At 41.3% G+C, this 15,408-nt stretch overlaps 1 long non-coding RNA gene across 1 annotated transcript in view, besides 1 other annotated feature; it reads right to left on the reverse strand.

Moving 5' to 3' along the window:
- Positions 1-15,408, reverse strand: part of IL12A-AS1 (IL12A antisense RNA 1) — a 293,693-nt gene that overhangs the window by 205,272 nt on the left and 73,013 nt on the right. The window lies entirely within an intron of this gene.
- Positions 10,971-11,265: a silencer, noted in NCBI's record as "tiled region #6612; HepG2 Repressive non-DNase unmatched - State 24:Quies". NCBI's record gives its function as "represses a minimal TATA promoter and a strong SV40 promoter by Sharpr-MPRA in HepG2 cells {active_cell/tissue: HepG2}" and the evidence as "EXISTENCE:reporter gene assay evidence [ECO:0000049][PMID:27701403]".

A 15,408-nucleotide genomic window follows, 5' to 3' on the forward strand; every position in this document is an offset into this window, starting at 1 on the left:
GAACAGAAATCACAACAAACTGTCTCTCAGACCACAGTGCAATCAAATTAGAACTCAGGATTAAGAAACTCACTCAAAACCACACAACTACGTGGAAACTGAACAACTTGCTCCTGAATAACTACTGGGTAAATAACGAAATGAAGGCAGAAATAAAGGTGTTCTTTGAAACCAATGGGAACAAAGACACAATGTACCAGAATCTCTGGGACACATTTAAAGCAGTATGTAGACGGAAATTCATAGCACTAAATGCCCACAAGAGAAAGCACGAAAGATCTAAAATCGATACCCTAACATTACAATTAAAAGAACTAGAGAAGAAAGAGCAAACAAATTCAAAAGCTAGCAGAAGACAAGAAATAACTAAGATCAGAGCAGAACTGAAGGAGATAGAGACACGAAAAACCCTTCAAAAAAAATCAACGAATCCAGGAGCTTGCTTTTTGAGAAGATCAACAAAATAGACCGCAGGCCAGACTAATAAAGAAGAAAAGAGAGAAGAATCAAATAGAAACAATAAAAAATGATAAAGGGGTTATCACCACTGATCCCACAGAAATACAAACTCCTATCAGAGAATACTATAAACATCTCTATGCAAATAAACTCGAAAATCTAGAAGAAATGGATAAATTCCTGGACACATACACCCTCCCAAGTCTAAACCAGGAAGAAGTCGAATCCCTGAATAGGCCAATAACAGTAATTAATAGCCTACCAACCAAAAAAAGTTCAGGACCAGATGGATTCACAGCTGAATTCTACTAGAGGTTCAAAGAGGAGCTGGTACCATTCCTTCTGAAACTATTCCAAAGTATAGAAAAAGAGGGAATCCTCCCTAACTCATTTTATGAGGCCAGCATCATCCTGATACCAAAACCTGGCAGAGACACAACAAAAAAAGAAAATTTCAGGCCAATATCTCTGATAAACATTGATGTGAAAATCCTCAATGACATACTGGCAAACGGAATCCAGCAGCACATAAAAAGCTTATCCGCCATATTAAGTTAGCTTCATCCCTGGGATGCAAGGCTGGTTCAACATGTGCAAATCAATAAACGTAATCCATCACATAAACGGAGCCAACAACAAAAACCACATGATTATCTCAATAGATGCAGAGAAGGCTTTCACCAAAGTCAACACCCTTTTATGCTAAAAACTTTCAATTAACCAAGTATCGATGGAATGTATCAAAATAATAAGAGCTATTTATGACAAACCCACTGCCAATATCATACTGAATGGGCAAAAACTGGAAGCGTTCCCTTTGAAAACCAGCACAAGACAAGGATGCCCTCTCTCACCACTCCTATTCAACATAGTATTGAAAGTTCTGGCCAGGGCAGTCAGGCAAGAGAAAGAAATAACATGTATTCAAATAGGAAGAGAGGAAGTCAAATTGTCTCTCTTTGCTGATGACATGATTGTATATTTAGAAAACCCCACCAAGTCAGCCCAAAATGTTCTTAAGCTAATAAACAACTTCAGCAAAGTCTCAGGGTAAAAATCTCAGCAAAGTCTCAGGGTACAAAATCAATGTGTAAAAATCACAAGCATTCCTATACACCAATAACAGACAGAGAGCCAAATCATGAGTGAACTCCCATTCACAATTACTACAAAGAGAATAAAATACCTAGGAATTCAACTTACAAGGGATGTGAAGGACCTCTTCAAGGAGAACTACACAAACCACTGCTCAAGGAAATAAGAGAGGACACATATAAATGGAAAAACATTTCATGCTCATGGACAGGAAGAATCAATATCGTGAAAATGGCCATACTGCCCAAAGTAATTTATAGATTCAATGCTATCCCCCTCAAGCTACCATTGACTTTCTTCACAGAATTGAAAAAAACTACTTTAAACTTCATATGGAACCAAAAAAGAGCCCACATAGCCAAGGCAATTCTAAGCAAAAAGAACAAAGCTGAAGGCATCAGGCTACCTGACTTCAAACTATACTACAAGGCGACAGTAACCAAAACAGCATGGTACTGGTACCAAAACAGATATATACACAAATAGAACAGAACAGCGACCTCAGAAAGAACACCACACATCTACAACCATCTGATCTTTGACAAACCTGGCAAAAACAAGAAATGGGGAAACGATTCCCTATTTAATAAATGGTGTTGGGAAAACTGGCTAGCCATATGCAGAAAACTGAAACTGGACCCTTTCCTTACACCTTATACAAAAATTAACTCAAGATGCATTAAACACTTAAACGTAAGACCTAAAACCATAAAAACCCTAGAAGAAAACCTAGGCAATACCATTCAGGGCATAGGCATGGGCGAAGACTTCATGTCTAAAACACCAAAAGCAATGGCAACGAAAGCCAAAATTGACAAATGGGATCTAATTAAAATAAAGAGCTTCTGCACAGCAAAAGAAACTATCATCAGAGTGAACAGGCAACCTACAGAATGGGAAAAAAATTTTTGTAATCTATCCATCTGACAAAGGGCTAATATCCAGAATCTACAAAGAACTTAAACAAATTTACAAGAAAAAAACAAACAACCCCATCAAAAAGTGGGTGAAGGATATGAACAGACACTTCTAAAAAGAAGACATTTATGCAGCCAACAAGCATATGAAAAAAGCTCATCATCACTTGTCATTAGAGAAATGAAAATCAAAACCACAATGAGATACCATCTCATGCCAGTTAGAATGGCGATCATTAAAAAGTCAGGAAACAACAGATGCTGGAGAGGGTGTGGAGAAATAGGAACGCTTTTACACTGTTATTGGGAGTGTCAATTAGTTCAACCGTTGTGGAAGACAGTGTGGCGATTCCTCAAGGATCTAGAACTAGAAATACCATTTGACCCAGCAATCCCATTACTGGGTGTATACCCAAAGGATTATAAATCATTCTACTATAAAGACACATGCACACATATATCATTCTATTATAAAGACACATGCACATGTATGTTTATTGTGGCACTATTTACAATAGCAAAGACTTGGAACCAACTCAAATGTCCATCAATGATAGACTGGATAAAGAAAATGTGGCACATATACACCATGGAAGGCTATGCAGCCATAAAAAAGGATGAGTTCATGGCCTTTGCAGGGACATGGATGAAGCTGGAAACCATCACTCTCAGCAAACTAACACAAGAACAGAAAACCAAACACTACATGTTCTCACTCATAAGTGGGAGCTGAACAATGAGAACACATGGACACAGAGAGGGAAACATCACACACTGGGGCCTATTGGGGGGTGGGGGGCTAGGGAAGGGACAGCACTAGGAGAAATACCTAATGTAGGTGACGGGTTGATGGGTGCAGCAAACCACCATGGCACGTGTATACCTATGTAACAAAACTGCATGTTCTGCACATGTACTTCAGAACTTAAAGTATAATAATAATAAAAGAAAATGTGGTATATATACACAATGGAGTACCATTCAGCCATAAAAATGAATGAGATCCTTTCATTTGCAACAACATGAATGGAACTGGAGGTCATTATGTTAAGTGAAATAGGCCAGGCAGAGAAAGAAAAACTTCTCATGTTCTCACTTATTTGTGAAAGCTAAAAATTAAAACAATTGAACTCATGGGGATAGAGAGTAGAAGGATTGTTACCAGAGGCTGGTGAGGGTGGTAGGGGGCTGTGCTAGAGGTGGGGGTGGTTAATGGGTACAAAAACACACTTAGAAAGAATGAATAAGACCTAATATTTCATAGCACAACAGAGTGACTATAGTCAATAGTAACTATATACTTTTAAATAACTAAAAGACTGTAATTGAATTGTTTGTAACACCAAGGATAAATGCTTGAGGGGATGGATGTCCCATTCTCTATGATTTGATTATTTCATATTGCATGCCTTATCATCTCATGTACCCCATAAATATATATACCTACTATGTCCTCACAAAAATGAAAAATTAACATTAAATTGCAGAAGGAAAAAATGGGGCTAATCAGACCTGCCTCAAAGTGTTGTAGAAACTGAAGGGAATATGAATGTTACCCCCAAAATATGCCACTTTGGCATAAAAATTACTTTTAGCTGAAGGCAGTTGCAAAACAGCAGATGTGGGAAGACCTCTCTTCCCTCCCCCTTTTTGCCTAAAAGCAAAGCATAGATTTCCATTTGTTAAGGTATCCCCCCCGTACCATACCAGGGAGAGGAGCCTGACTCTTGGCACCAAAATGAATCTGCATAACAAGCCCTACTAAGCAATCCTTATATGCCATACATTTCCTCATCGCCTCCCGAAAATTCACTGTGCCTAGGAGTCTTAATCCTCTTTTCCTTTATCTAGTTCCTTCACAAATTGTTATTTGTTAGGATGATATACAAGCCCCTGTGTCTTTGAACATCTTGTGCGTGTAAAACTGTTAATAAAAGTTGTATGCCTTTGCTCCTGTTAATCTGTCTTTTGTCAGTTCAATTCATAGTTCCCAGCCACACATCCCAAAAGGGTAGAAGGAGAGTTTTTCCTCCCCTACAAAACCAACTGAGATAATTTAAACTGTATTTAACATTGTAGCTCAGAGCATAGGAAACTTCAAATTTTTTCCTATTTGTTATACTATGACAGTTACATTTTTTAGTATTCAGTTTCCTCATCTGTAATCTAGAGGCAATAATATCATCTTTATCTCAGAGATGTTACAAGCAGCAGATGAGACAACACTGATGTAGAATGCCCACCACAATTCAGGACACAGGAGCCATTATTGTTAATAGTCCCTGCCACACCACTGATCCTTAAAGTCGTTCCCCTGGACTCCCAGGTAATGGCAGTTAATGTGATCAGGGCCAGGGAAACTGAATCAACTTAGCCAAATATTCAAGAGATTCTCTCACAAAGCGGGCTGAGGCATTAACTGTTATATTTTTGCGGGGAATATAACAGTTCAAGAGATTGTGTCTGGCTGTGAGGCTGGTTCCTCCTAGTTGAAATATCCTCATGAAAAACCAACTCAGGCTCAGAGCCTGCTCAAGAAGGACCAAGATGGAGTGCAGGAATGTTCGGGTCTCCATGGAATGTGTAGCTACTTTTGGTATTTTATGTCCCTGGCCCACTGTTGTAACCACCCAATGGGTTCACCTTGCCCACTACCTAGACAGAGCCGGTTTATCAAGACAGAGAAATTGCTATAGAGAAAGAGTAATTCACTCAGAGCCCGCTGTGTGGGAGACAAGAGTTTTACTTTTATTCAAATTAGTATCCCCGAGCATTCAGAGAGTTTTTATGGACAACTTGGTGGGTAGAGAGAAGCCAGTGAGCCAGGAGTGCTAATTGGTTAGGTAGGAGATGAAATCATGGGAAGTTGAAGCTGTCCTCTTGCACTGAGTCCGTTCCTGGGTATGGGCCACAAGATCAGATGAGCCACTTTATCAATCTGGGTGGTGCCAGCTGATCCATCAAGTGCAAGGTCTGCAAAATATCTGAAACACTGATAGGAGCAGTTTAAGGAGGGTCAGAATCCTGTAGCCTCCAGCTGCCTGACTCCTAAACCATAATTTCTAATCTTGTGGCTAATTTGTTAGTCCTACAAAGGCAGTCTAGTCCCCAGGCAAGAAGGAGGTTTGTTTTGGAAAAGGGCTGTTATCATCTCTGTTTAAACTATAAACTAAGTTCCTCCCAAAGTTAGTTCAGCCTACACCCAGGAAGGAACAAGGACAGCTTAAAGTTAGAACCAAGATGGAGTTGGTTAGATCTCTTTCATAATCTCAGTCATAATTTTGCAGAGGTGGTTTCACTGTTGTGAACTGAATTGAGTCAACCCAAAATTCATATGCTGAAGTCCTGATTCCTCAGTGCCTCAGAATGGAATTGTATTTGCAGATCAGTTAAGTTTAAATGAAGTATTAGAGTAGGACTTAATCCAATATGACTGGTGTCCTTTTAAAAGGAAGAGACTAGAACACAGATGTTTGCAGAAGAAAGACCACATGAAGATACAAGGAGAAGGCAGCCATCTGCAAGCCAAAGATGGAGGCCTCAGAAGAAACCAGCCCTGCCAATATCTTCATCCTGGCCTTCCAGCCTCCAGAACTTAAAACAATTTCTGTTGTTTAAGCCACTTAGACTGATAGCCTGAGCAGACTAATACATCTGCTATAGAGAAACACCTAGGGAGCCTGGCTCAAATTCTTCCTACTCTCTCACTCTCCTTATCAATCCTGCTTCTCAGATTAGAATTACAGTGCATACTGAGACATGTGACAATTCATCTGTATAAATAATCTTTTCATATAAACTTAATTGTATAAACAGAAATGTATTTGTATAAATAAATTTATTTATAGAAATATAAACCGGTAGATAATGTGAATCCCTTAATGTGAAATTAAGAAAATACTCTAGTAAGGAGTTTGCCAAAGTAGGTTTGTCTACAAAAATTAATTATCTGGTAACATATATTTGGAAAATACTGTATACCATAGGTCTTGTTAGAACCTCACAGTGTACATGAGCATATTAAAGGTTTTGAGAAGTACTGCAATAAACAAATGTGTTTGAGCAATATTTAACCCAGCATTTGAGAAAATATTTGACCATGGAACTCTTTCTTTCAGGAAGGTTTCTAGTGACAATTCACTTTGATAAATGTTCTGATCTAAACTGCCTCCCACTTACCAATCATCACGTCAATGTGTTATTTCCTCAGAAGTCAGTTAATGTCATCCTTTTTTTATTCTGATGATATTTGTTTTTCAGAGGGTGACATTTATTGGCTGCCTTCCCAGATTCTGAAACTTCTAGGCTTTTATTCCTAAACTATAGAAAAATAAAATTCTCTTAGTAAGGCAAGGAGAAAGGAAAAACAGAAGTTAGTATAATTAACTTGTCTCATCATCAAAACGGAAGCTAGTGTCATTATTTTGTCACATCATTTAACTATAAAAGTTTCAACAGAAGCCAAGAAAATATAAGAAGCTCCCACTTGATGAAATATACTTTGGGAAAGGCCATCTTTTTTGAGGCTCTCTTAGAACCTCTGATTGTAGCTGGTATTTTTAAGAGCCCAGGTAAATAAGATAACTAGAGCCCAGGTAAATAGAGAAGTGTGCCTTTCCTCCCCATAGTAAGGGGTACGCCAACATTCTATAAAGACAGGTTAATGAGAGAGATGCAAAACTAATTTATTTAATCAATATTGTATGTGACACAGGAGCCTTGAGAAATACAAATACCCAAAGACCCAGGGAAAACTGCATTTTTAAGCTTAGATTCAATGAAGAATGGATAGCCATGTAGAAATGTGATTGGACAGAAGGTTATAATCTAATGGCAATAGACTGAGGGGGAAACCCAGAAGGTTATGATCTAATGGTAGTAGACTGAGGAGGAAACCAAGCAAGGCTTGTCTGTTCAGATTCTTCTTGGCCTGTCTGTGTAGCGTTTCTTCCCTCCTGGGTATGGGGCAGGATCCCTCTGGAATAAGAATCTTCAAGGGAGAAGGAGGAGAGTGACCTTTCTAGGTTTTATGGCTTGTGTGTGGGGAGAGGAATTCTAGTTTCTATGATCAGCCCTCGGGAAGAGGAACTCTAGAGTCTATGACTTAATTCAGGGAAGAATGAGGCGTGGGAGACAGGAGAGTAGGCGAAGGTCAGAGAAACCTTGCTTCTTAGTCTTTGCAATCTCCTTCAGTTCAAAGTACTCAGCATGCCAAGGTGCCATATTTTGAGGCACTGTGTTCTGAGCCCTGATAGAATCTATCTGTTACTCATATGACTGCTGAAGGGGCCTTTCTGGAAATTAACATTTATTCTATCTCTAGCCATCTACAATTTGGCTTTTATCTTGATTTTAAGAGAAAAGATAGCTCAATGAGTTAAAAGCTATTGTTATTTATAATTGATTTTTGTCTTGCTCCTTGGCCAAGAGATCGATAGAACAATTAGAATTATTATTTTGTCTTTTCTTCACCTTCATGTCTCTTAAGATCCTGATTGTCATTTTAGATTCTTCACTGTGGGAGACTACGGCTTTTGAAGAGTCAGCCAACCAGCTTGAGAGTGAATATAATCACCCATTTTCTAAAATGAGTAAGTGAGGATGTAACTTACAAACCTGCTAGATTCCTCTGTTGAATTGCAAATAAAACTAGAGAAGCTGCCCAGAATCTCAGAATTGAAAAATGAAATGATGATTATCCCATTTTTCTATTAACAGAAGAGGAGACTTGGGACCAGCCTCCGCTGTGTGGTACCGAGCAAGAGCAGCTGCAGACATGCAGAGCTGGTTTTCAACTCAGGCGAGGCAGTGTATCAGCTGTGTAACCCTAGCAATTCCTTCAACCCCTCTGCAGCTGTCTCTCCCCCTGCAAAATGTAACAATTGCTGCTGTGCCCCCTTACGGGATGCTGAAAAAAGTTAAGTAAGATCAAATGAGTTTGTATCTGGAAAACATCATGATGGGAGGTTGAACTTGGTGGTATAAGGGTAGAAAATTGTGATATCTTTCCTTCCCATAGAAGGCGGACAGCTAACACTCTTAAAGCACAAGACAGGTTAACAAAAGAAAAGCATAACAAATCTATTTAATCAAAGTTGTGTGTGACACAAGAGCCTTCAGAAGTGAAGGTCTAAAGATCCAGGGGAAACTGTTTTTATGTTTAGGTTGGATAAAGAACGGATAGCCATGTAGAACTGTGATTGGACAGGTTATGATCTAATGGTAATAGACTGAAGGGGAAACCCCGCAAGACCTGTCTGTTCAGGTTCTTCTTGGTCTCTCTGCATAGCATTCCTTTCCTGTCCAGTAGAGGTTAGGACACCTGTTACATGAAGGTCCTCAAGAGAGAAGGGACAAAGTTACCTTTCTAGGTTTTATGACTTGCTTTGCGGAAGAAGACTTTTAGTTTCTATGACCCAACTTGGTGAAGAAGAATTCTGGTTTCTATGACTCACTTTGCAGAGGGTAGTGGGGAAGACAGGAGAATGGGAGGAGATCAAGATGTTGAAGAGATCTTGTTTCTGAGGCATGCATGAACTCCTGGGCTCAAGTGATCCTCCTGCCTCAGCCTCCCAAGTAGCTGGCACTATAGGTGTGCCACCATGCCCAGCTAATTAAAACAATTTTTAAAAATTTTTTTGTCTGTGTTGCTTAGCCTGGTCTCAAACTCCTGGCCTCAAGCAATCCTACTGCCTCAGCCTCCCAAAATGCTGGGATATAGGTGTGAGCTACCATACCTGGCCCATTTCACTGTTCTTGATCTATAAATGTCTGTTCTTCAGGTTATAATGTATGCCTGATTCAATCCTTCACTGATCAATGAATAAAATATTTAACATGTATTTATCTATCTATCTATCTATCTATATATATATGAATGACAGTGATAATTTTAATTTTCACAGAGGGTAAGTAAGACCCTGCCTGTTTCCTTCCAAATTTCTTCATGGTCCAAGTATCTTTATGTAATCACAGAAGACTGAGGGAATAATGACACCATTTCAGGATTTAAAAAATAATTGTGAAACATTCCTTGAAGAGACCTTCCTCCACATAAAGACAGCAGCATCAGCTGCTCAACAGACACCCCTTGGTGAACAAGATAGAGGCTCTCCAGGCAAGTCACAAGCAAGACTGCAACTGCAGTCAGGTTCTGTGGTCAGCCACAGAGGGACCTAAGGCAGCAGCAGTGGCTCAAGGAGAGCTGCATCTACAGCTGAAGCTGAAGGATTCTGATGGACATCAGACCTAGCTATGGACAGAGGGGTAACCTGAAGAACTGAGGAATGCATGAGTCTGAGCCAAGGGGGCCTCAAGCCTACAGATCTTTCTTGTCATTATTAATGGCATCCACATTCTTTGAATATCCTCCTTAAGGCAGATGTGGGGCTGAGGGGAATTAAGAATTAGGTTACTGTGTACTATATTCAAGAAGTTCTTATTGTCAACTTAAATAAAGACAGAGAAAATTATGTCTGAATATGTTGCGTTTACTCAGGATTATAATCTGGAATGCACAGAATGGCAAGCCACCAGCCTGTTTGGTGAGAGAAGGATAAGGGGAGATTTTACTAGCAAAAAGAGATTGACATAAGCTGCTTAGAACAGAGTTCATTGATTCCAGAGTTTCAAAGCCAGAGTAGTTGTCAGTTATTGGTGGAGATTCCACTACTGGGCAAGCGTTCTTCTGAGAACATCTTGTCTGAATTACTGCCAATTCTAAAGCATGTCTAATGATAAGCTTTATCAAAGCAGGTGTAAAAGGGCTTCTAGAAAGTCCTTGGACTTTTTTTTTTTTTTTTGATGGAGTTTTGCTCTTGTCCCCCAGGCTGGAGTGCAATGGCGCAATCTCAGCTCACTGCAACCTCCACCTCCCGGGTTCAAGCGATTCTCCTGCCTCAGCCTCCTGAGTAGCTGTGATTACAGGCACATGCCATCACACCCAGCTAATTTTTGTATTTCTCGTAGGGACGGAGTTTCACCATGTTGGCCAGGTTAGTCTCGAACTCCTGACCTCAGGTGATCTACCCACCTCGACCTCCCAAAGTACTAGGATTACAGGCATGAGCCACTGTGCTGGCCGAAAGTCCTTGGACTTTCTTATCTCAAACATGTAAGCATGGACCTCCTCTCTTTCAGGTTTTTCTGGCCCTATTTTGTCTGGGTCTGACAAACGTGATTTCATCTTGCTATCTGCAAATTTCACATCATGATCCTAGTAATCATTATATAAGAATTTGGGTTACCAGGTTATGTAGGAAAGTAAATACGTTATTAAAATGCCCTCCTGAGCTGTCCATTTATTTAAATCATCCCCCATGAAACATCCCTGCCCAAACACACTAGTACCCATGCCAGCTATCAATCAAAGATCTGGGGTCAGTCTCTCATCGGCTGTCAGATACTGTAAATGTACCTGCCACTTTCAGATGATATTCACGACTACAAAGACTACTATGCAATCAATTGCAAAGTGAAATTGCAAGTCTCATAAAAGATGTGGTTCATGAAGCAATGAGTGTGACATTGGAGAATTATTTGAATCACATACAAAGCCGCAACAGACAGGAAGAAATAATTAGCAACAGGGGAAGAGGAAACTGACCAGACAGATTTGGCAGACATCACAGTTGACTCATTCAGTATCTCCCAACTTTGCTTGCCTTACTCTGCTTTAAAGGCTGGAAAAGTTGAAATAGCCTCTTTCCCTGTCTTCCCTGCAGCCAGCAGGAACTAGATTGCTCAGATTCAAATCTGGCTTTTTCTCTTACGAGCTGTGTGACCTTGAGCAAGTCATTTAACCTCTCTTTACCTCAGTTTTCTCATCTGTAAAATGTAACTGCCTCATAGAGTTGTTCTGAGGATTAGATGAGTTAGTATATGTAGAGCTCTAAGAACAGTTCCTGGCACACAGCAAGTCCACAGTAATTGTGACCAGGAGTCTAACAGATGTAGAAGTCGGGTTGCACACGTGCGCAACTCTTGTGGTGGAAGTGAGGAGCCATGGTTGACATTCCCTCAGACTGCATATTTTGGAGGAGGGCTAGTTCCCTGTAGGACACTCTGGATGCTGGGTGGGCCAAAACCTAGAGGTCCAAAAGTTCTCTGAGATCACCAGGGACAGCTCAGGGTGATTGTCATATGTCATGTCTTTAGTCACCAGTGGCCCAAGGAGAAGATACATAACTGTTGAATTCCAGAGTCATCACCACTGCTATCTTGCAAGGCTAGTTCACATCCAACCAAGTTTGGAAGTGTTTTTCTTCCTACCCTGATATTCCCCTTACATTTTCTTATGCTTACTTTTCTCAGCCCTCTATCTATTCACATACAATTATGATAAACACTCCTTTTCCCCTCCATAATGTTAATCTGTCACTATTTGGAATGCATAATCTTTTTTTTTTTTTTTTGTCAGAGTCTCACTCTATCTTCCAGGCTAGAGTGCAGTGGTGTGATCTCGGATCACTGCAACCTCCACCTCCTGGGTTCAAGCAATTCTCCTGCCTCAGCTCCCCGAGTAGCTGGGACTACAGGCGCGTGCCACCACACCCGGCTAATTTTTTATAATTTTAGTAGAGATGGGGTTTCACCATAGTGACCAGGCTGGTCTCAAACTCCTGACCTCGTGATCTGCCCGCCTCGGCTTCCCAAAGTGCTGGGATTACAGGCGTGAGCCACTGCAGCTGGCCCGGAATGCAGAATCTCGCCAACACTTGGTTGACAATACATTATAATTATCAAAATAATTAAGCTCCATTTCAGTCCTATTTATCAAGTTTCTACTATTCATATAACTCATACCTTTCTCCCTTAATAATTTTTCTTAGGAAGCCCCTCAATTTCTTTCAGGTTTCTGGTTTCTGTTTCCCTAGGAGTGCCTCAATTTTCCTGCTTCCTTCCCTGGACCCTTCAGGGACTTAGCGGGGCTTTTGTTCCCTGAGTGCAGCCTGGCTGAGTATCCTTGTCTGATTTCTTGACTACTCTTGATCCCTTGGCTATTTAGTTTTCCTCTTGAGCGTGGTGGTGAGTAATCACACTCAAGACTCTAGCAAAAGCAGTGCCAAGAACTAATAGAAGGCCCCTTGAGCATAAGATTACAATTTCAAACTAAAGAAATGTTTCTAATCATGTCCTACCTTTCCCAACTCCCTCCATGTCATTTGTAATCATTCATCCTAAAAAAATACAATAAAATCTGATTATAGAATTCTTGAACTTAAAGCAGATTCTGAGCCGGGGGCAGTGGCTCACGCCTGTAATCCCAGTACTTTGGAAGGCCAAGGCGGGCAAATCACTTGAGGTCAGGAGTTCGAAACCAGACTGGCCAAGATAGTGAAACCCCAGCTCTACTGAAAATACAAAAATTAGCCAGGCATGGTTGCAGGCACCTGTAATTCCAGCTACTCTGGAGGCCGAGACATGAGAATTGCCTGAACCCAGGATGGGGGTGGTGGGGTGGAGGCTGCAGTGAGCTGAGATTGTGCCACTGCACTCCAGCCTGGACAACAGAGTAAGACTGTCTCAAAAAAAAAAAAAAAAAGCAGATTCCTAGTAACACAAGTTTGTAAAGCTTCCATTTTGTGTAAATTCCCAGCTTGAAGAGAATATGTGTGCAACCCATGTGTGAAATCAATAAAATAGCATTTAATTTCATTAATAGGCAAGCCAATTTAACGTATATATGTGGCAAGAATGGTGACGAGTAACTCGTGATATATGCAGAACTTGAAATGACAGTGTTAGTAGCCATCAAGTCGGCAAAGCAGCATGAACAGGTAAGGCACACTGGCGATTTGGAGAAGGGACTTCTCAGTTGCTGCTTCATGTCGTCATGGATATTTTGACAATATTGTTCAATTTGCATTATTTGATTAAACATTCAGAACATAATTTTAATTTATTAATAAAGTATTATGGGCCAATTTAAAGAACAATCACTATCATAGAGAGCAGAAAATCTTTTTTTTCTTAGAAGATGTCTCCATAGTTAATCTTAAATCATTTACGCTTTCACTACTATGAATAGTAGCAAATAAGGACTGTCAAAACCAGGCTGGTTTTCTTCCTTGAAGCCATCTAGTATCAGCCACTCTTAGATGGACTTTACTCGTAGGCAAGTGGGAAATCCCTTCTAGGTTTAAACTAGTTCTTCTGCCCATGTGCCTGTTGTGGCAAATCTCTATCAGCTCCACTGGGAAAGGCACCAGTTTCAAGAGGCCAAAGAGGCCCAGAGCCAGCAAATGAGGCATGGACTTTTACTGGGAGCTTACATACAGGGCAGAGAGTCCGGTGACGGTGAGCTGGGCAGAAGAACCCAACTGCTTGCAAAAGGCATGCAGTTTATATAGCGTTTTCACTTAGCATTCCTTCCCTAACAATCTCCATCTGGCAACCTTCATTCAAGCCAAAGCTCAGGGCCTTGATCCCCTGTAGGGCCCATGTTCCATGGGATGGGCTGCAGGCCCAGATGCTCCTCATGGACAAGGAACAAATCTCCAGGTTGGCCACTCCAGGATTGCCTAGCTGGGAACATACACTCCGGTGCACCTGCCCTACAGGGTCATTATCACGATATGCTTAAGTTACTGCTACCATGTGTGTTTACCATACAGCACCCTATGGCATGACTCTTCACCTTGAAAAAGAAGACTCAAGCAGGGAGCTGAAATTACTGTATTACCCTTGATAGAGGAAAAGCTCTTCTGTCTCTGGGAATTGAGCTTCTAGATTCAGGAGTAATGTCCATGGAGCTATGAAGCAGCAAAATGCCCATCACCGGCACCCTCAACTTTTCTTCCATCTCGGCTGCTCCTCTCCCCCAGACAGCCAAATAAGGCCATATCAATGACTGCCATTGGTGTGCCGGGCACAAGCTAGGCACTTCATATGCATTAACTCATTTAATTCTCTCTAACAACTACATAAGGCAGGTATGGGTGAGATGCTTATTCTACAGATGAGAAAACTGAGGCTTAGTGAATTTATGTAATTAACTCAACATACATGGCCAGTAAGATGCAGAGCTCGGATTCTGAACCTGGCACTCTGACTCCAGATCTGAACCCTACTCCATAACACAGAAATCCCTGGAGTTGGCAATTCCTTGGTTAAAATGACCCTCATCTTCACTTAATATAACACAGGCATTACCTTGGATTCAGCGTCCCCCCTGTAACCCCAACAGGGTGGCGTGAACTCTGGAGCACTGGGCAGGGAACTTCAGCCCCTCGGGAGGGAGGGGAGCTGGTCAAGGGAAGGAAGGCACATGTTTCCACAAAGGCTTTCCTGGCTATCTGAGTCCCCATAGAGGGGATGGCCCAAACCCTCCTGGATAAAGCCAGATCCCAGAGGGGATTTGTTTTCCTAGTGACACTGCAGGAAGAAAGTGTTTCAGATTTAAGATCTCAGTCCTGGCCTGGTGTGGTGGCTCAAACCTGTAATCCTAGCACTTTGGGAGGCCAAGGCAGGTGGATTACCTGAGCTTCGAGTTCAAGACCAGCCTAGGCATCATGGTGAAATCCCGTCTCTAATTTTTTTTTTAATTTAAAAAAAAGGGTGGGGAAAGGTCTCAGTCCTTAGGAGCATGTCTGTTTCTCACTCTTTGTAGAAGCTACAGGCTTTTTGTCATAAAGATCTGTGTTAGCGGCATCATCAAGTGACTCTTGTGAAGTCCAGCTCCAGGCCAAAATCCTATGGGTGATTTTTCAGGCCTGTCTATGAGCAATGACAAGGCTTAGCCTGGCAGGCCTCATGGGGAGGCTGCCCCCTGGCTGCCCGCGCTGTTATGCATCACTGATTCCTAGCCCAGGTGCCTCCATTTGGACAGCTCCTTATCAAGGAACTTCCAAACCACTTTTCTCTACTGTGACTCAGCACTTCTCCATTCTGAGCCCTTACCTGCCATGCCCCTTATCCCACACCACTCCCAACTCAT

This window comes from Homo sapiens, chromosome 3, assembly GCF_000001405.40.
Source record: "Homo sapiens chromosome 3, GRCh38.p14 Primary Assembly".
Lineage (NCBI taxonomy): Eukaryota > Metazoa > Chordata > Mammalia > Primates > Hominidae > Homo > Homo sapiens.